At 46.8% G+C, this 21,760-nt stretch overlaps 1 protein-coding gene and 1 long non-coding RNA gene across 42 annotated transcripts in view, besides 1 other annotated feature; one reads left to right on the forward strand and one right to left on the reverse strand.

Moving 5' to 3' along the window:
• FHAD1 (forkhead associated phosphopeptide binding domain 1) overlaps window positions 1-21,760 on the forward strand; it is a 166,490-nt gene that overhangs the window by 45,402 nt on the left and 99,328 nt on the right. For 38 of the 41 annotated variants that reach the window (XM_047443734.1, XM_017000198.3, XM_017000199.3 and 35 more), the window contains 3 exons: window positions 7,477-7,744; window positions 14,762-14,871; window positions 19,283-19,519. In XM_047443734.1, coding sequence (XP_047299690.1) covers window positions 7,477-7,744; window positions 14,762-14,871; window positions 19,283-19,519 — 615 coding nt within the window. Of the gene's footprint in view, window positions 1-5,108; window positions 5,236-7,476; window positions 7,745-14,707; window positions 14,872-19,282; window positions 19,520-21,760 lie in introns of those variants that run through there. The other 3 variants (XM_011540592.2, XM_011540595.2, XM_017000207.3) reach the window with 3 other exon arrangements.
• On the reverse strand, window positions 5,434-10,011 carry LOC124903853 (uncharacterized). The gene is made up of 2 exons (XR_007065482.1): window positions 9,729-10,011; window positions 5,434-7,827 (listed from the first exon to the last, which is right to left on the reverse strand). It is a non-coding gene; the product is annotated as an uncharacterized LOC124903853 (long non-coding RNA).
• Window positions 6,977-8,176: an enhancer, noted in NCBI's record as "P300/CBP strongly-dependent group 1 enhancer chr1:15615395-15616594 (GRCh37/hg19 assembly coordinates)". NCBI's record gives its function as "activates an origin of replication core promoter dependent on BRD2, BRD4, P300/CBP, MED14 and CDK7 cofactors, with strong dependence on P300/CBP, by STARR-seq in HCT116 cells {active_cell/tissue: HCT116}" and the evidence as "EXISTENCE:reporter gene assay evidence [ECO:0000049][PMID:35650434]".

The raw sequence follows: 21,760 nt of genomic DNA on the forward strand, positions 1-21,760 counted from the left end.
AGTACGGACTCCTCTGTCTTTATTTGATTCTCTGTGCTATAATCCACCTGATGTTATTTATTTTGTAGCTCATATTGTCCTAGCCTTGGCCACTGGAGCGCTTTTGGGTTGGTGCTTATCCCTCTAACAGGGCCCGCACCTTCTGTTTTTGAGCACTTACTCACTTTCTGCTGTTACAAGATGCCCCAGGCTCATAGTGTATTCTCCCTGCCCCAGCCCCAGAATCAGCTGAAGGGTATTTTTTAACTTTGGCTCTGTTTGCCAATTGTTCAATTCAGTTCGGTCAGCAGGCACCTAGAGTGTGTGCCAGGCCCTTCACTGGGCACTGGGTCCAGCCAGTGCTATGCTGATGAGTGTCTGAAAAAGTAAAGTATGCAGGTATAGTATAAAGCTTACTGACACAAAGAATGTGTAGCACATTCTTTATAAATAATAACAAAATATGCAGGACTCTTTATGGCAAATTTATCATAAATTCCATAGAGCCATTGATTCTCACAGAGGGTTTTTATTGATTTTTGCCAAACTCTTGTATCCCTAGCCAACTTATGGTAGCAACTGATGAATGTTTCCAACCGGAATACTGGTGGATATATTTGTTTACCTTTGTGAGTAAGACGAAAGTGAAATGAGAAAGATTTGTATTGGAACCTCACATGTTCATCAATGACATGAGCACCTTCTTTGCTATCATAGTTTATGAATACCAGAAGAAACTATTGGATAATAGTTTTTGAATATCAGAAGAAAATTTCCTCCATATCTTTTGTGCTACTCATAATGTGATGGCTACAGACATAAAACACTTTTAAATCTCATCTGTATTACTAATATTTTATCCAACACCTTCCTAAGAATAGACAAGCAACAAAACAAAAAATCAATCCCTGATTTGTAACATTCCCTGATTTCTGTGGTGTAAATACTCCCATTAATGCAGAATAGGCAAGCCCCAAAATTGGGACTTAGCCAGGGAGGGTTCTTGGCTTTGCCCAGGAAAGAATTCAAGGGCAAACCAGCAGTGTGAGACAGCACCTTTTATGGAAGCAACAGTGCACAGTGGCAGGAGCGGGGCTGCTACTTGCTCAGCAGGGCTACCCCATGGGCAGTGCGCCCAGAGTAGCAGCTCAAAGACAATTCTGCAGTCATATTCATATCCACATTTAATTACACAGAAACGAAGGGGTGGTTTATGCAGAAATTTCCAGGAAAAGGGTATTACCTTTCAGGTAGTTGGGTCATTGCCATGGAAAGGGGTGGTACCTTTTGGGTGTTGCCATGGCAATGCGAAACTGACATGGCACACTGGTGGGCGTGTCTTATGAAAAGCTGCTTCCACTGCGGCCCTGTTTTAGCTGGTCCTCAATTTGGTCTGGTGTCTGAGCCAAACCTCCAGAATTGAGTCCCACCTCTTACCTCACCATCCTGGCCAATTTCAAGCTTCACTAACACAGAGCCACAGAGAGCTGGGTAGCAGCACATCACTCTACAGCACTGCCAACACACAGACGCAGTAGGAAGAATAACTGTAAGAGCACAGATTATCATGAAATATAGTAAAATAATTAGGAGGCTAAGTTTTAAGTATTTATTACTGTTGTTTCTGGTATAATTTAATTGTAAGTATATATAATTTATTTTTTAATGGCTGTGTTTATCAGCCAGCTCACAGAATTCTCAACATTTACTCATCGGCTCTCATGAGCCAGCACCAACAGGCCCCAGCTCTCCTCTGGCACAGCAGTGAGCCAGCTACAGCCCTGCCTGGGGGGAGACTGCAGTTCTCTGAGTGGCATCCAGGGTGCTGCACATACCCTGTGACTCAGACTTGCAGGAGGGAACCTATAACGTTCCTGGAAAATCCTGTCCACACATCAATCCTGTCCATGCACCATCTTGGGGATTTTCACACCATCTATTTCTCATTTTCATTTTTTAACTCAGAAAATCTATTCTTCATTAGCCAATCATCTAAGATCCTTTTGCAAGTATGGAAAGCAAGTGCAAATCATGACTTCAAATGACCTGGAAGCTCCAGGGGCACAGAGTTTGGAGTCAGACAGCATCACCACTTCCAGGCTTCAGGACCTGGGGCAAGTCTCTGAACCTCACTGAGCTTCTGCTCCTTTAATGCACAAAATGTGGGTAAAAATGCTTCCCCTACCCCAGAGTTATTCTCGTGATTAGATGGGGCCACATATACAAAGGGCACAGCACAGCCTAGCACCTAGAGCCTTCTCTCCTTGGTGGTTCAAAGCCAAGTGGTAAGAATTGGAGGCCAGGCACAGCGGCTCACGCCGGTAATCCCAGCACTTTGGGAGGCCGAGGCGGGCGGATCACGAGGTTAGGAGATCGAGACCATCCTGGCTAATACGGTGAAACCCTGTCTCTACTAAAAATACAAAAATTAGCCGGGCATGGTGGTGGGCGCCTGTAGTCCCAGCTACTCGGGAAGCTGAGGCAGGAGAATGGCATGAACCCGTGAGGCGGAGCTTGCAGTGAGCTGAGATTGCGCCACTGCACTCCAGCCTGGGCGACAGAGCGAGACTCCATCTCAAAAAAAAAAAAAAAAAATTGCAGATAGCAGAAAACATGACAGATGCTCCAAGGGCAAGGTCTACTTCCCCACCTTGTCCACAGCCTCCAGGGCTTCCTGGAAGAATGCATGGGTCCTGTAGGACTCTGGGCAAACTCCCTTGGCGTTTTAGGGTGTCCTTCTCACCCTGAAGCCTTGACAGGGTCAGAAGCAGATGTTAGCGTAATAACACAAGAAACAAGGAGATCATCCGGAAACAATGGATTTGGAGTTCTCGAGTACATTACTGGTTGGGTGTTTATTCAAGCTGATAGAAATTCAGCCGTGGGTGTGGTCCAGGTGGTTGGCAGCCTGCTATTTTAGACAGTGTGGGAGAGATCAGGAAAAGCACATGCGGCCTCAAAAATAAACAAAGAAAAAACCACCACGCCACACACCATATGGTCAGAGAGAAAGAAAGAGGAGGAAAGAAAGAAAGAAAGAGAGTGAAAGAAAGAAGGCACTAGCAAGTATTTTTTAACTAATATTTCTAAGCCAGACTTGTTGATAACTGACCTTGATCCCAAACTCTATGTACATTCTAATGTGAGCTCAGCCAGGAGCCAGTTTTTCAGGAGTCTTTTTTTTATGTTTGTTTATCCTCCTCACTGTTTCCTTGTAGTTACCAGCAGCAATTTCTGAGAAAACCTTGACCTTGCTTATGATAGAGTAGGCCTGTTAAGTAGAGAAGACTGACATTAACCTTCCAACTAAAGCCACCCTAAATCAACATGCTTTCAAAAAACAAACAATGCCGGGCGCTGTGGCTCATGCCTGTAATCCCAGCACTTTGGGAGGCCAAGGCGGGTGGATCATCTGAGGTCAGGGGTTGAAGACCAGCCTGGCCAACATGGTGAAACTCTGTCTCTACTAAAAATACAAAAAATTAGCTGGGCGTGGTGGCACATGCCTATAATGCCAGCTACTTGGGAGGCTGAGGCAGGAGAATCGCTGGAACCCAGGAGGCGGAGGTTGCAGTGAGCCGAGATCACGCCACTGCACTCCAGCCTGGGTGACAAGAGCAAAATTCCATCTCCATAAATAAATAAATAAATAACAAAATAAAACTTTTTTTTTTTAACTGAAAGAGCTGATTGCAGTCTTTGCTGCATTTACACATCATGCACTGGCCCCTTTAGAGACCCTCTCATTAGCACTGTGGGGGCTACAAGTGACAAAACCAGCTCAAACTAGCCTCACAGTACTGAGCAGTTAGTGCAGGGTGCAACGCGAGCCAGGGCTCAAAACCAGCTTCTCTGTTTGTTCATTATGCACAATAGCCAAGAGGTGAATGCAGCCCAAGTGTCCATGGACAGATGAATGGATAAATAAAATGTGATCTGTCCATGCAATGGAATATTATTCAGCCATGAAAAGGAAGGACATTCTGACACATGCTACAACATGGGTGAATCCTAAGGACATTGTGCTAAGTGAAATAAACCAGTCACAAAAGGACAAATGTTGTATGAATCCACTTATATGAGGGACAGAGTATTTAAATTCATAGAAATAGAAGGGGAATGGTGGTTACCAGCGGCTCTGAGGAGAGGAGAAGGGAGAGTTATTTAATGAGAATATATTTTCACTTTTGCAAGATGAAAAAGTTCTAGAGATCTGTTTCACAGCCATTAGACTATACTTAAAAATACTGAACTGTACACCTAAAATGGTTAAGATGGAGAATTTTGTTATGTATTTTTTTACAATTAAACAAAAACCAGACCAGGTGTTGGGGCTCATGCCTGTAATCCCAGCACTGTTGGAGGCTGAGGCAGGAGGATCACTTCAGCCCAGGAGTTTGTGACTAGCCTGCACAACATGGCAAAACCCCATTTCTACAAAAAATACAAAATTTAGCTGGGCCTTGTGGCCTGCGTCTATAGTCCAAGCTACTTAGGAGGCTGAGGCAGGAGGATCACCTGAGCCCGGAAGGTTAGGCTGTAGTGAGCTGTGATTGCACCACTGCACTCCAGCCTGGATGACAGAGTGAGACGCTGTTTCAAAAAAAATGGAGAAAAGAAAACCACCTTCCCTCTCTCCACGTCTGGGCTGCACCCCTTGGTGCTGGCTACATTCTCAAGTCCCCAGTTCTCTGTGGCTAGAGATTCTGGTGTCCAGCCTAGTCTCCTTGGCTCTGATTGGATCACATGCCCCACCCCTGGCCAATCACTATGGCCACTGAATGTGATTTGTTGCTTAGCCCCACCCACAACAATTGGCCGAGAGAGGGAGGGAGATTTACCCACAATCTCCAAAAGATGCTGAGTGGGTTCTGGCCTGGCCACTGCAGAAGTGTTACCCTTGAGACAGGAGACACGCTCACTCCCATTAGCACCTGTGCAGTTAGTTGGCATGAGGCACCCTTAACTTAGAGCCCTGCCTACTGAATGTCCTAGCATGAAAGTAGATTCCTCCACCACACCCAATACTCTCTACCTTTGTGTTCCAGAAGGCTGGAGTAAAACGCATTGGAGTTTGCCCGCTGTCATCTTCAGCCCATTCATTCAATGAGTACTTATTAAACCCATAGGAAAAGGTCATGGGAATGAGTGAGGCAAGACAGCCCTGAGGATGGGGAAGGACATGATGGACGGAGAAGTCAGCCCAGGGCAGGGGCACAGTGGCTCAGCTTCTGAAACCAAAGAATGGAAAAGAGGGTAGGTGGAGAGGCTGAGATGTTGACAGTGGAGAGAAATGGGAAACTACACGTAAGGTAACAGAGTTCTGGAACTCGGCCCAGACCCACTCCTGAAAACAGACTTCAAGTGGGCCAGTGTCATTTGAATGCCTGGCCAGGTGTCCCCAGATGTATTAGTCCATTCTCACACTGCTATAAGGACATACCAGAGACTGTGTAATTTAAAAACGAACAGGTTTAATTGACTCACAGTTCCCCAGGGCTGGGGAGGCCTCAGGAAACTTACAATCATGGCAGAAGGGGAAGCAAACGTGTCCTTCCTCACATGGCGGCAGCAAGGAGAAGTGCAGAGCAAGGGGGTGGGGAAAGCCCATTATAAAACCATCAGATCTTACAAGAAGTCACTCATTATCACGAGAGCAGCATGGAGGTAACTGCCCCCATGATTCCATTACCTCCCACCAGGTCCCTCCCAGTCCGTCCTAAGGGGATTTTGGGAACTACAGTTCAAGATGAGATTTGGGTGGGGCACAGCCAAACCATGTATCACCAGGTGATCGGAGTTTGGTGCCAGATTTCCCAGAACACTCCTCACTGACTCCAAGAAAGAGCCTTAGGGGGAATGCATAGGATCCCTGAGCAGCTGTAGACAGACTGCAGCTTGGAGATTAGGATCCTGAGTGGAGAGCCCTCCTTTTCAATGAAACCCAGCTGAAGTTCTAGGAAGTGCTGTCTGCTGGAGCTCTGATTTTGGAAGCATTCTGTCCTTTTCCTCATTGTGTGTGTCTGAGCTCATCTTCTCTCTGGGCTACAGAAGGAGAACCATGAGCCCTGGGAAAATAGGGATGAGTTCTATTCTAGGAAGCAAACCTTTGAATTTAGCTCTTACCTGGAAAGCATTATTTCTGCCAAGACAATTGGGAGACAGAGGAGGGGAAAGAGAGAGAGAGAGAAGAAGGAGAGGCCATCAGATCTTGATCCCAGTTCCCTGTCCACCACTGCCTGTGCTGGGTAAATCCCTTAACCTCTCCAAGCCTCACTTCTAACAGGAATAAGGAGAACCCTCACACAAAGGGTCATGGTGAGGAATCAATAAGCTCGGTGCAATAAGTGATAGTGCTCATCAGTGCCACCTTCAACCACTAGGCACCAGGGAGAAACCACCACTAAAGCATTAATCCACGGCAAAAGCCAGGTGTCAGCACCACTCCACGTTTGCTCATCCACGGTTAGATGGATTTTGACATGCTCTCCACTGAAAGCAGCTGGAGCATCTTCCCCGGGGCCTCTGCCAGAATCAGCTGTGCTGGTGTGGAAAAGCAAAGGCTAATCAGACAGTCAGTGTCCCTGCAATCCCAGAGCTCTGAACTTTGAGGGATAGAGGGACCCACAGTATGGACAGAAAGAGAAAAGGCTGTGGAGTCCCAGGGAGCTGGGCTGGAATCTCAGTGATTGGCTTGTTCTGTTATTTTGACCAACATTTGAGGACCTACTAGGTATGTGCCAAGCATTTATTCTAGGGGCTGAGGATACAGTGGTAAGGTAGATGAAAAGTCCCTAATCCCTTAGAGGGGACATTCTCCTGACTCAGCAGATCAATACCACGTCTGTGGGTGTTCAGAGTCCCTTGTTCTTGCCTGGCCTGTGTCCTCCGAGTGTTGATATCACAGAGTGTTGAGTGTATTAAATGAGTTAATGCAGGTGACTCTTTCGGCAAGATGCCTGGGTAAAGCATGCACTCACTCAATGGTGGTGTGATCGTGTGCCGTGTGGTCCAGGCAAGGACCCCCATCCCAAACTTGAGGAGAGTCCAGGAAGGCTTCCTGGGGGAAGTGACTCATTGTTTTTTTGTTTGTTTATTTTTGAGACAGAGTCTCATTCTGTCGCCCAGGATGGAGTGCAGTGGTGCTATCACAGCTCACTGCAGCCTCTACTTCCTAGGCTCAGGTGATCCTCCCACCTCAGCCTCTCAAGTAGCTGGGACTACAGGCATAGGCCACAAGGCCCAGCTAATTTTTGAATTTTTGGTGAGGCAGGGTTTTGCCATGTTGTCCAGGCTGGTCTTGAACTCCTGAACTCAAGCTAGCTAGCCTCCCACTTTGGCCTCCCAAAGTGTTGGGATTATAGCTGTGTGCCACCCTGCCCGACCGGAAGTGACTCATAAACCAAGACCTTGGGCAGCAATGCTGTGGCTGGGACAAAGAAATGGAGACCATCCCAGCCGGTCATAACCTCCCCTGACCCTTGTCTGCCCCTGCAGGTCTCTTTCCCATGGATGAGGGGCCCAGCACCATGGCCAGGGCCACAGCCACCTCGTGCCACACAGCAGCCAAACCAGGCCCCCCCACCATCACATATCCCCTTCCACCAAGGTGTCCAGCCAGCACCGATGCAAAGGAGCTGGTCCCAGGCCTTTCCCAGACCCACCGTGGTCCTGCCGGCCTCCCACAGGCGGCCTGTGAGCGCCAACAAGGAGATGTTCTCGTTCGTGGTGGACGACGCCCGCAAGCCACCCGTCATCAAGCAAGGTATGCGTCAGGGCTGCCATTGGTGGCTTGGGGGTGGTTCACGGCCATGTGGATGGGTCTTGGTTTTGGTTTACTTTCTGATTCTAAAAGTAGAACATATTCAATTGTAAAAAATGAAAATAAATTCAGGATAAGCAGAAAGTAAGAAAACAGTTAAAAAATCAGCCGTAATCCTTATCCCCAGGGTCTCCCTATTGACTCTCTGCTGCGTATCCCTCCAGCCTCTGTGCTGTGTCCGTATACACACACCAGGGCACCTGCAGTGGGTGTGGCCTCTGTGTGTGTGTACATATGAGTGTGTCATGGGATCACGTCAACACACTTTGACTCAGTTGTGCAAAAATATTAGTAATTGCAATCCCCTTTGCCCCCAACAGCCCTAGGAGCTTTTAAAATATTTTACCACCATTTTACAGGTCAGAGGAGAGTGACACTTACCAGGAAGATGACTTCTCCCGAGGAAGTGTATTCAGTCCCGTCTAATCTAATGTTTTTCAGTCCCATTTAAAGGCTGGTGAGCTCGGTGACAGCCCACTCACAACCTGGTCACTCTGGGACACACACAACCTTCAGGGTGTCCTTCCTTCCCCACTACCCCCTTGAAAGCCTCATGGCACTTGGGGAGGAAACTTCCCATCTGTCACTGTCCTCTTGGCCTCAGCAGCCTCACCAGCAGAAGAGCTGGTCAGTTTAGTCCCCAGGCATGGTTCCCAGAGTTCCTCCCTAGCCTATGGCATCAAGGTCCCATTTTCTGTCCTCTTTGTCCCAGCCCCAGGCCCTTCGGAGTCCCCAGACATCTCCCAGCGGCTTCCATATCTTTTTCCGGTCTTGCTCAAGACCATTCATGTAGTCACCTTCCTCAGTCACTAAAATCATTATTACTGTGACATACGCAAGCTGAAGAGTAAAGGCCATGTGTCTCCACGGTTTACATCATCATCACCGTCATCATCAAATGCACCACCACATACCTACCACCCACACTGAGAAATGACTCAGCCATTTTCCCCCAACATTTTAATATGAACTTTTTTTTTTTTTTTTGGACGGAGTCTCCCTCTGTTGCCCAGGCTGGAGTGCAGTGGCAGGATTTCGGCAGTGGTGCCATCTCAGCGCACTGCAAGCTCCGCCTTCTGGGTTCACGCCATTCTCCTGCCTCAGCCTCCCGAGTAGCTGGGACTACAGGCTCCTGCCACTATACCCGGCTAATTTTTTGTTTTTGTATTTTTAGTAGAGATGGGGTTTCACCATGTTAGCCAGGATGGTCTTGATCTCCTGACCTTGTGATCCGCCCACCTCGGCCTCCCAAAGTGCTGGGATTACAGACATGAGCCACTGCGCCCAGCCTTAATATGAACATTTTTTAAACATACAGCAAAGTAAAAATAATTTTACAGTGACCCCCTCCCCACCTAAATCTACCATTAACATTTTACTATACTCTTTTTTTTTTTTTTTTTTCTTGAGACAGAGTCTCACTCTATTGCCCAAGCTGGAGTTCACCTTCTGGGTTCAAGCGGTTCTCCTGCCTCAGCCTCCCAAGTAGCTGGGATTACAGGCACACACCACCATGTTCAGCTAATTTTTGTATTTTCAGTAGAGACGAGGTTTTGCCATGTTGGCCAGGCTGGTCTCAAACTCCTGACCTCAAGTGATCTGCCCACCTTGGCCTCCAAAGTGCTGGGATTACAGGTGTGAGCCAACCACGCCTGGCCCATTTTGCTATACTCTTATTGTATATCTCTCTATCAATCATTTTGTGAATTCATTAATTCATCTTAATTTTAGATACATTTTAAAATAAGTTTCCTACAGCTGTAGACTTCCCCCTAAACATTTAGCACGTATACCATTAACTGGAGTTCAACAGTTTTTGTCTTTTTGTGTAAAATTAACATACGGTGTGTATTAGTTACCAATTTATAACCAATTACCCTAACATATAGCACCCTAAAACAAACCAAAACCCTATGCGTTATCTTACACAGTTTCTGGGGGTCAGGCATTTGGGAGTAGCTTAGCAGGATGGCTGTAGTTCAGGGACTCTCAGGAGGTTGCATTAAGCTTTTGACGAGAGCTGCGGTCCTCTGAAGGCCTGGGGCTGGAGGACACATCTCCTGGGTAGTTCACTCACATCCGTGTGTGAAGAGGCCTCAGTTCCTCACTAGCTGACAGCAGGAAGCCTCAGTTCTTCACCACTGCCACCTCTCCTAGGCTGCTTGAGTCTCCTCATGAAATGGCTGCCAGCTTCCTCCAAAAGAGTGGTCCTAGAGAGAAAAGCAGCAGCCACATGTCTCTTAAGATCCAGCCTCAGGAGTCAAACTCCATCATTTCTCCAGTAGCCTTGGTTACATAGATAAGCTCTGTTATGGCTGAATTGTGTTCTCTCAAAATTTATATGTTGAAGTCCTAATCCCCAGTACCACAGAACCTAACTGTATTGAGAGAGTGCCTTTCTTTCTTCCTTCCTTCTTTTCTTTTCTTTTTTTCTTTCTTTTAGAAACTGAGTCTCACTCTGTCTCCCAGGCTGGAGTGCAGTGGCATGATCTCGACTCATTAAAACCTCTGCCTCCCAGGTTCAAGTGATTCTCCTGCCTCAGCCTCCTGAGTAGCTGGGATTACAGGCACCCACCACCAGGCCTGGCTAATTTTTGTGGGGTTTTTTTTGTTTTGTTTTGTCTTTTTGAGACGGAGTCTCGCTCTGTCGCCCAGGCTGGAGTGCAGTGGCACGATCTCGGCTTACAGCAAGCTCCACCTCCCAGGTTCACACCATTCTCCTGCCTCAGCCTCCCGAGTAGCTGGGACTACAGGCGCCCGCCACCACGCCCAGCTAATTTTTTGTGTTTTTAGTAGAGACGAGTTTTCACCATGTTAGCCAGGCTGGTCTCAACCTCCTGACCTCAGGTGATCCACCCGCCTTTAAAGAGGTAATTAAGTTAAAATGAGGTAGTTAGGTTGGGCCCTAATCCAATCTGACTGTTGTCCTTGTGAGAGGAGGTGATTAGGACACAAGCAACACCAGAGGAAAGACCATGTGAGGACACAGTGAGAAGGTGGCCGTCTGCAAGCCAAGAAGAGAGGCCTCAGGAGAAGCCACCCGGCCAACACCTTGATCTTTCAACCTCTAAAACTTGAAAAAATAAATTGGTGCAGTGGCTCACCCCTGTAATCCCAGCAGTTTGGGAGGCTGAGGCAGGAGGATCCCTTGAAGATAGGAGTTCAAGACCAGCTGGGGAAACACAGCAAGACCCCATCTCTATTTTTAAAAGAAAGAATTAAACATTTAATAAAGTAAAATTAATTTCTGTTATTGAGCCCCCTAGTCTGTGGTATTTTGTTATGGCAACCTGAGCATATTAATACAAGCTTCATCCAGCATGGGAGATGACTATATAGGGGCATGAATACAGGGACAAGAATCACCAGGGTCATCTTGGAGACTGGCTGCCACTCAATGAAATGCACAGATCTTGAGTGAACACTCACTACGTTTTGACAATTGTATACACTTGTGTAACCCAAACCCCTGTCAAGAACATCACCATCATCCCAGGAAGCTCCCTCAGGTCCCTTCCAAGTCAGTTCCCAACCCTTGCCCCCAGAGGTAACCACTCTTCCAAATTCTTTTTCCACCATGGATTAGAGACTCCTGTTCTAGATTCTCAAATACATGGAATCATGTAGTGTATGTTTTTCATGTGAGGCTTTTTTCACTCTGCATATTTCTGAGATTCATCCATTTTGCTGTATGTCTTACAAGTTGTTCCTTGTGGCCAGGCGCGGTGGCTCATGCCTGTAATCTCAGCACTTTGGGAGGCCAAGGAGGGCGAATCACAAGGTCGGGAGTCTGAGACCAGCCTGACTAACATGGTGAAACCCCATCTCTACTAAAAATACAAAAATTAGCTGGGTGTGGTGGCACGCACCTGTAATCCCAGCTACTCAGGAGGCTGAGGCAGGAGAATCGCTTGAACCCGGGAGGCAGAGGTTGCAGTGAGCTGAGATTGTGCCACTGCACTCCAGCCTGGGCGGACAGAGCAAGATTCTACCTCAAAAAACCAACAAACAAAAAAACAAAAACAAGTTGTTCCTTGTTATCATTGAGTCACATTCCATGGATGTATCACAGATTTCTTTATCCATTCGTCCATTGGTAGACACAGATGCTGTTTCTTTCTTTTTTCACTCAGTCTTTGATGAGTAGATTTCTCCACCTGTTTCTCCAGTGCCATGTTGAACTTGGGAAGTGAGTGAGCCATGAACGGTCCTAAGGCTTTGAGGCCCTCAGATCTGCCTGGGCGTCACCACTGCAGCCTCCCACCGGGGTGTCATCTGGGTGGGGAAGGCACCATGATGTCCGCTCCCAAACTTCCACCGTGTTTCCCTGATGCGGAGAGGGGCTTCCATCTTCCTGTAGTGAGGAGTTCCCCTGTGTCAGACCCGGGCCTCTCTGCTCCAGGCTTAGGAGAACACTTCCGGCTCCAGGCCTCCAGGTTGGCTCTCCATTGAAAGCACCGAGTTTTGAGGAATCTGAGGAAGCCCTTTCCTCTCTTAACAAGGCTGGACTCTTCAAACAAAATGGTTTTGCCTTTAGACCATTGCTTTGCTTTCGATTTGAAAAATTCTATTTGGAAACGCAAAGCCAAGGACTTACTTATTCTAGGTCAGGGTTTCTCAATCTCGGCACTGCTGACATTTGGGGCCAGATAATTGTTTGTTGTGGGGCTGTCCCGTGCATTGTTTTTGAGACAGAGGCTCACTCTGTAACCCAGGCTGGAGTGCAGTGGTGCAATCTTGGCTCACTGCAACCTCTACCTCCCGGGTTCAAGCGATTCTCCTGCCTCAGCCTCCCAAGTAGCTAGGATTCAGGCGCCTGCCACCACACCTGGCTAATTTTTGTATTTTTAGTAGAGTTGGAGTTTCGCCATGTTGGCCAGGCTGGTCTCGAACTCCTGTCCTTAAGTGATCTGCCTGCCTCGGCCTCCCAAAGTGCTGGGATTACAGGTGTGAGCCACCAGGCCTGGCCCGGCCTGTGCATTGTTGAGTGTTTAGCAACATCCCTGGCTTCTACCCACTCGATGCTCTCAGCAGTTCTCTCCCACTCAAGCTGTGATACTCAAAATTGTCCCCAGATGTTACCAAATGTCACCTGAGGGGCAGAATCGCCCTGGTCAAGGCCCCCGTCTTGGTGGTGCTCGCCCTTCTCCTCGAACAGGCAGTAAGGCCGCAGCTCTAAGGCCGAATCTTAATGGCAAAGCTCATACAGGTGAGGGAGGAAGAATTAGAATGGAGAATGGAAATGCGTGGGGTGATTTTTAAAGATACCATCCTGATTTATATATACTGTAAGTAATGGAATAATGATGAGATTGTTTGACCCTAACACTGGTATCCTACTTTTTAAAACGTAACACTGCATCATGAAGGTCAATATATTTACTGCATAATGGTTATGAGTACAGGCTCTGGATCAGGCAAACTTGAGTTCAAATCTTGACTCTATCACTCACCAGCTGTGGGACCTTCAGCAAGTACTTGACATCCCGGTGCCTCAGTTCCCTCACTTACAAAATATGATATGAATGTCATGTCACTAGTTGTTATGCTGTATTTTTATTGTTGTATTGTTATTTTTTATTGGGTTTTTAAGAAGTATTTTTGGCCAGGCATAGTGGCTCCCATCTGTAATCCCAGCACTTTGGGAGGCTGAGACAGGAGGATCACTTAAGCTTAGAGGTTTGAGACCAACTTGGATAACATAGCAAGATCCTGTCTCTACAAAAAATTAAAAATTAGCCAAGCACGGTAGCATGCACCTGTAGTCACAACTACTTGGGAGCCTGAAGTGGGAAGATCAATTGAGCCCAGGAGGTCAAGGCTGCAGTGATCCATGATCATGCTACTGCACTCTAGCCTGGGTGACAGAGCGAGACCCTGTCTGTCTGTGTGTGTGTCTCTCTCTCTAAACATATATATATATATACACACATACTCATACATATATATTTTCAATCCACAGTTGGTTGACTCCACAAATGTGGAACCCACACATATGGGGGGCCAGCTGTATCTATTTCTTGTTATAAATCCCAATATCACAGAACCAGACATAAATAAGGCTTCGAGGGCCATACAGTCTGTGTTGCAACTACTCAACTCTGTGTTTGTGGCACAGAAGCAGCCATAGATGATACATATGTGAATAACTGTGGCCACATTCCAGTAAAACTGTACTTTCAGTCATAGGCTGGATTCAGCCCCAGGGCTGTAGTTTGCCAGTCCCTGCTCTACCTAACGTTTCGTTTACTCTTCACAGTAGCCCTTTATGATAGAGACTATTCATGCCCCTAAATGATATGTGTGGAAACTAAGGCTGAAAGAGATTAAATGACCTGCCCGAGAGATTAAACGATCTGCCCAAGATCACCAGCTCTTCTGTGGCATAGGAAAAAGGTCTGGAAAGAGACACATCACGTTGGGTAACAGCAGTTATCAAAGGAAGAAGGAAGGAGGTGGCCCTTTCCCTTTCTAGTACTTCCGTGATGCTTTCACTGCTTTTCAGTGAACACACACACCACTTTGTAATTTTTTTTTTTTTTTTTTTTGAGACAGAGTCTCGCTCTGTCACCCAGGCTGGAGTGCAGTGGCGCAATCTCGGCTCACTGCAAGCTCCGCCTCCCAGGTTCACGCCATTCTCCTGCCTCAGCCTCCCGAGTAGCTGGGACTATAGGCGCCCGCCACCACACCTGGCTAATTTTTTGTATTTTTAGTAGAGATGGGGTTTCACCATGTTAGCCAGGATGGTCTCAATCTTCTGACTGCATGATCCGCCTGCCTTGGCCTCCCAAAGTGCTGGGATTACAGGCGTGAGCCACAGCGCCCGGCCTTTAATTTTTAAATTACATAAAATATCAATCTCTGGGGGGAAACAAACAGGAAGGCTAACGTGAACATCTTCTTCAGGCCTCAGGGAAACTCATGATGTCTTTTGTGCTCTCTGCTGATCTCACGCCTTAGTGTGGACCAATGCCATGAAACTGTCAGAAAAATCAGTGGCCGAGGGGATTCCTGGGGCAGTTCCCCCTGCGGAGATTTATGTGGAGGAGGACTTGGCCCAGCAGGACAAGGTGAGGGAGGGGTCTGGGGAAGGGTGGAGCTGCAGCAGCAAGCGCACTGCAAAGGGACTTGCCGATGCCTGTTCTGTGTGGCCCAGGAGTGCCCTTATCCTGCTTCCAAGAAACCACCTCTTACTCCCCAAGACATTCAACCAAATGTTTTATTCTAAATTACGACCTCCGCAACCACTGTTTATTAAGCATCTACTGTGAGCTGGACTGTGTCCTGTGCACTTAACATTCATTCACTCATTTAATCTTTGCTGTCTTCAAAATAGGTTTTTTAAATCACCATCACTTAACAATGAGGAAACCGGAGCTCAGAGAGTTTAAGTAACTTGCCCAAGGTTGCACAGTAAAAGGGGCAGAATTGAGATTCACACCCAGGTCTGGTTAACTTCCCTAGTGGGAGGAAGTGAGAGCTGAGGTCAGAGATGACTAAGCAAATGAGAAAGACTTGTTAAAGAACCAGAGAGGTTTAGGGAGTGAGACAGGAAGAGAGGTCAGAACAGATAAATTGAAGCAAACTTGGGAAGGATGGATCCAGGTTGATTTTGCCTCACTTAGCCACAACCTGAAAATTATATGATAATCGACTACTTTTGCACCAACCTAATACTAAAAGCAATGATCCACAATGCCTTGCTTCCCCTAAAGATCAGGGCCTGACCTTGCAGCCATTCTCAGAGTCTGTAAGGAGCAGAACCACCTGGAGCTCTTGTCACACACGGGAGTGACATGTCCAGGAATCTGCAGCAATGGTGAGTAAGGTGGGAAGTCAGGTTTGGATGCTCTGTCAGTTACCCACTGCTGTAAACAAGCCAGCCCAAAACTTAGTGGCTTAAAACAGCAATTTATTTCCCACAATTCTATGGGTTGCCTTGGAAGGTTCTCCTGCTGGTGTCTTCTGCCTCACTCATGCAACTGCAGTCAGCCGGTGGCGTGGCAGGGGCTGATGGTCTCAGAAGTCCTCATTCCCATGTCTGGGACCTCGGTTGGGACACCTGGAATTAGTTTTTTTGCTTGTTTGTTATTTTTTTTTAGTTTCTTCCCACAGATTTATTTTTTTAAGTTTTTATAGAGTTTTTATTAGTTTTCTTTTTTTTAATTTTTCCATAAGTTATTGCGGTATAGGTGGTATTTGGTTACATGAGTAAACTAGTACAGCCAATATGGAAAACAGCATGGAGATGCCTTAAAGAACTAAAAACAGAGCCACCATTTGATCCGGCAATCCCACCACTGGGTATCTACCCAGAGGAAAAACAGTCATTATTCAAAAAAGATACTTGCACATGCCTGTTAATAGCAGCACAATTCACAATTGCAAAATCATGGAACCAATCCAAATGCCCATCAATCAACGAGTGGATAAAGAAACTGTGGTATATATATTCAATGGAATACTATGCAGCCATAAAAAGGAATGAATTTACAGCATTTGCAATGACCTGGATGAGACTGGAAACTATTATCCTAAGTGAAGTAACTCAGGAATGGAAAACCAAACATCGTATGTTCTCACTGATATGTGGGAGCTAAGCTATGAGGACGCAAAGGCATAAGAGTGATGCAGTAGACTTTGGGGATTTAGGGAGAAGAGTGGGAGCAGGGCAAGGGATAAAAGTCTACAAATATGATGCAGTGTATACTGCCTAGGTGATAGGTGTACCAAAATCTCACCACTAAAAATCACCACTAAAGGACACTTGGAATTTGAGCCCTCTCTGCACATAGTTTTTCATCCTGGGCTTCTTCATAGCAGTGCAGTGGCCTCTGGGTTTCCAGAGGGCCAGGACAGAAGCTGTACAGCCTCTTAAGAACTTGCTTGGAGACCACCCAATATCATGTCTATCACTTTTTCTTGGTCAAAGCAGATCACAGGGCCAGCCTAGATTTAGGGGCTGGGGAAAATAGACTCCACTGCTTGATGGCAGAAGCTGCAAAGTTATTTGTAGCCATTTTTAATCCACCACAGTTGTTAAGCTGGAAATAGGATCCAACCACGTTTCTAAATTTTTACTATTTATGAAATATTTATGCCCTGACTTGTCAGGACTCCTTCAAGTGCAAGTGACAATAAACAAATTGATTTAAGAAAAAATAGGCTGTGCTCAGTGGCTCGCGCCTGTAATCCCAGCACTTTGGGAGGCCAAGCAGGAGGATCACTTGAGCCCAGGAGTTCAAGCCCAGCCTGGGCAACATAGTAAGACTCGATTTCTGCAAAAAAAAAAACAAAAACAAAAAACAAACAACAACAACAAAAAAACGAGCCACCCATAGTGGAACTTGCCTATAGCCCCAGCTACTAGGGAGGCTGAGGTGGGAGCATCACTTGAGCCCAGGGGATCAAGGCTGCAGTGAGCTGTGATTGCACCACTGTGCTCCAGCCTGGGTGACAGAGCAAGACCCTGTCTCAAAAAAAAAAAAAAAAAAGGAAAAAAAAAAAAAGAAAGAAAGAAAGCATTTATTGTCTTATCTTATTGGAAAATGTAAAAGCCAACCAGCTTCAGGCATGACTGGATCCAGGAGCTTGAATGATCAGCTTCCCCTCCCCCGCTATCAGTTTCTCCACTGTTTCCCTCATAGTTTTGCTTTTGCAGCAGGCTGGCTTCTTATGTTGGAAAACATGACTGTAGACAAACTGAAGTCTGTAAGTTTAAAGTTTATGATCCAAAAGGAAGCAAGAGCTTCTTCCTCTTTTAAGTAATACATGAAATCTCTGAGAAAATGCCAATTGACCAGGCTGGGTCAATTGCAGGTGGGACAGGAAGGCAGGTGGGACAGGAAGGATCAGGGCACATAACTGACCCTCCTACCAAGACCGTGTGGAAGGGTCAGGGGTGCTCCCTCAAGGAAGTCACAGGGTCCCCACCAGAAAGGCAGGAACCATAGCTGTGCACCATAAGCTGCAGGCTTCTCTGTACTTCAGTGCCCAGCACAAGCGTGGCACACAGTAGATGCTCAATACATGTTTGTTGTGTGGATATTGAACAAACACCTGGCTGGAAATGGAGCCCTCGGGTAACTCATATTGGATAAGGCAAAGGGCTGCCCCAGAGCATGGACTCTGTTTGAGGCTGTCCTTTGAAATGTTGCCACAAGCACTCACAGGGACCCAATGACAGACCCTGGTCAGCAGTTGGGCTCCATCATGACCAAAACCCTGTGGTTCCCCAGGTTAGCAAGCTAGAAGGTCGAGCTCTCCAGGCAATGAGCTGGCCTAGAAACTGCCCACCCGCTTCCTTCCCACCAGTGGAAAATTGCATGGAGAGCAGTTTCCTCTCAAAGTAACTGATCAGGAACTCTGTAGCTGCCTATGAATCACATCGGGGAATTTTTGTTCTCAATCTTCCTGATATTTTATTGATGCGTTCTGGTGAGAAGTTTGGGGGATTTTTTCCCCCTTTTTTGGGAAACCTAACAAATTCTTCGGCTACGGTGCTTTTTCTTTTGGAGAGATGGGGGACTGGGTTAATGATACCTGTGGGTACAGCCTGCCAAGCCCAAAGTTTTTTCCAGCCTGAAATTTACAAGAGCCTATATACATAAATCACCATTCCCCTCTCATTTATTTTTCATGACTCAGTTACCTGGAATAAATTTTTATGTGAATAACCAAAAGAGCCAGGGAATAACAGAAGAGAGGAAAGGGGAAAAGCTATTTCAGAATGTATTAAATTTGTAAAGTTAAATAGCCCCATTATAGTCAGAATGTGGTTGAATAGAGTCATTTCCTTAATTACCTTTCCTTCGTCCCCAGATGTTAGACTGAGGCCTGGTAAGTTGATTCCTAAAAATATTATAAATAAACTTTTTGGCAACAAAAATTCCCAAGTGGGATGGTGGTTCTTAATATGAAAGTATAATTTTAGGGGAAAGGAAAGTTTCTGTCGCTCTAAGGTATACACATGACTTATAGAAGTCTGTATGCAAGTAATCATTTTAACCAAACTCTTGTCTCTATGAGTTGCCAAGTGACAGAGAGCCTCAAAGTCTGCCTTTTCCCTGCCTGCCTGCCCTTACTTTCCCAAAATAATTACACTATAATTTTCCTACCTTTTTTTGAGACAGTTTTGCTCTTGTTGCCCAGGCTAGAGTGCAATGGCATGGTCTGGGCTCACTGCAACCTCTGCCTCCCGGGTTCAAGCGATTCTCCTGCCTCAGCCTCCCAAGTAGCTGGGATTACAGGCGCTTGCCACCACACCCAGCTAATTTTTGTATTTTTAGTAGAGACAGGGTTTCACCATGTTGGCCAGGCTGGTCTCGAACTCCTGACCTCAGGCGATCCACCCATCTTGGCCTCCCATAGTGCTAGGATTACAGGCGTGAGCCACCGCACCCGGCCCCTACTTTTTTTTAATGGGCTCAGCCTCACACCTAGGCCCACACCTAGTAAGCCTCCCATCTGATCTCTACCCAGGATGAAATAATTCTGCTGCTGGGAAAAGAGGTCAGCCGTCTCTCAGATTATGAAATTGAATCCAAATACAAAGACGTCATAATAGCAAACCTGCAGAATGAAGTGGCTGAGCTGAGTCAGAAGGTGTCAGAGACCACCACCTCCAGGCAGAATGAGAAGGAGATCTCGCAGAAGTGTCAGGTTCTGGATGAAGACATCGATGCCAAACAGAAAGAGATCCAGAGCTTGAAAAGCCAGGTAGGCAGAGCCTGAGAGGTACAGCACAGCTCTCAGGCCAAGGCCCGGGAGGCCCCAGGACCACCAACCAAGGTGAGCCACCCAGAGTTAGGGAACGCGTGGTCAGTGGAGCATGGTGGTTAAGAACACAAATCCACAAGACTGGGAGATTCGGCAGTTTCCTAGCATGGTAAGAACAAGATCAGCCTTTGTTCAGCACTGGCCATGTGCAAGAACTAGTGCAAAGCGCTTTAGATTAACTTATTTAAACCTCACAATCCTCTGACACATCCATTCTACAGATGAAGGGTCTAAGGCAGGCCCAGGCCGGGCGCTGTGGCTCACACCTGTAATCTGGCACTTTGGGAGGCTGAGGCAGGCAGATCACTTGAGGTCAGGAGTTTGAGACCAGCCTGGCCAATATGGTGAAACCCTGTCTCTATTAAAAATACAAAAATTAGCCAGGCGTGATGGTGCATGCCTGTAATCCCAACTACTTGGGAGGCCGAGGCTGAACCTGGGAGGCAGAGGTTGCAGAGAACTGAGATGGCGCCACTGCACTCCAGCCTGGGTGACAGAGTGAGACCCTGTCTCAAAAAGAAAGAAAGAAAAAAGTCTAAGACAGGCCCAGAGACACCCAGGAACTGCTTACAGCTTGCACAGCACGTGAGAGGTGGCAGTGCAATTTGAACTCAGGTCCGCCTTCTCGCAGACCCCATGTTCTCACCTCGATTTCCTATTTCCCCACAATGCTGTCACTTCAGTAACCGCGTCTCACCCAAATCCAGCCCCAGCCAGAGAGAGCTATGGGAAGTTAGCTAAGTGGGGAGAAGGAACTGCCCGGTGTTCCAAACACAGAGGCCTTTACCAAACCCTGAAGGCAGTTAGTTACTGGTTCACTTATAGGGAATTTCATCAAACAAAAATTCTTCACCTGGAATTTCTGAATTTACCAGTCATGTACGTTTCTCTTGAAACTTGATTCAAATTCTTTTTTTTTTTACTTTAAGATTGGTCAGTGATGGCTGGGCGCGGTGGCGCACGCCTGTAATCCCAGCGCTTCGGGAGGCTGAGGCAGGCAGATCACAAGGTCAGGAGATCAAGACCATCCTGGCTAACACAGTGAAACCCCGTCTCTACTAAAAATACAAAAAATTAGCCAGGTGTGGTGGCGGGCGCCTGTAGTCCCAGCTACTCGGGAGGCAGTAGAATGGCATGAACCTGGGAGGCAGAGCTTGCAGTGAGCCAAGATAGCACCACTGCACTCAGCCTGGGCGACAGAGCGAGACTCCGTCTCAAAAAAAAAAAAAGTGGTCAGTGATATTGTATATCAGTCAACAAAGTTGTTAAAAGAGTAATGGGCCACTGGTGAATTTCACCCTCAGTGCATCATGCTGGTTAAACTGTGGACATGCCTGGGGCCTCTGTTCGCCGATTCACTGCTTTTGGCCTCTGCCTTCTGTACCCAGTTCAGGGTGCACAGTTTCAGCCCTGGAAAAAGCCTAGGTTAGACATGGTGAACCTCGAAGAGTCTTTCCGGGACTATAAACTCCACAAGGGCAAGGGCTGGGCCTAGTTACCTTCCAGAATAGGACAGTGTCTGTTCATTCATTCATTCATCCACTCATTCGTTCATTCAAACGTTTGTTGAGTGACTACCCAGTGCCAGGCCCTCTTTTGCGCTCTGGGAATTCGGCAGAGAACAAGGTTGACCTGATCCTTGTCTTCTTACAGTTGTGTTCCAATGAGGGGGACAGAGTAGACAACAAAACAGACAAATATATGCCCTAATATTGAGGCAGTGACCCTCCTTCAGACCTGTTTTTGAAAGAGCAATGAAAGGAGCTGGTCCTATAGGAAATACTGCTGCAGACAGCTGCCTGGACATGTCTCTAACTCCTTGAGGAGCCTCTTTCTCTTCTCATCTGAACCCAGTTTTGCAACCAGATCTCCATCTTTTTCAGTAACTCTCCCATTTCAGAGCTTTCCTGCACTAAGTGAAGTGTCTTGTCCAGATACAAGGTTAAGGATGAGTAACTGTCACATCTCTTTGAGTCTGTGTCCACATTTTGGGTATTGTTTAAAGTGCTCACATTATCTGGAAATTTATCTTTCACCGTGAAATTATCTATAAATAATTACTCTGTAGCCGGGCGTGGTGGCTCACGCCTGTAATCCCAGCACTTTGGGAGGCCAAGGCAGGCGGATCACCTGAGGTCAGGAGTTCGAGACCAGCCTGGCCAACATGGCGAAACCCGTCTC

The sequence above is a fragment of the Homo sapiens genome, chromosome 1, assembly GCF_000001405.40.
Source record: "Homo sapiens chromosome 1, GRCh38.p14 Primary Assembly".
Classification (NCBI taxonomy): domain Eukaryota; kingdom Metazoa; phylum Chordata; class Mammalia; order Primates; family Hominidae; genus Homo; species Homo sapiens.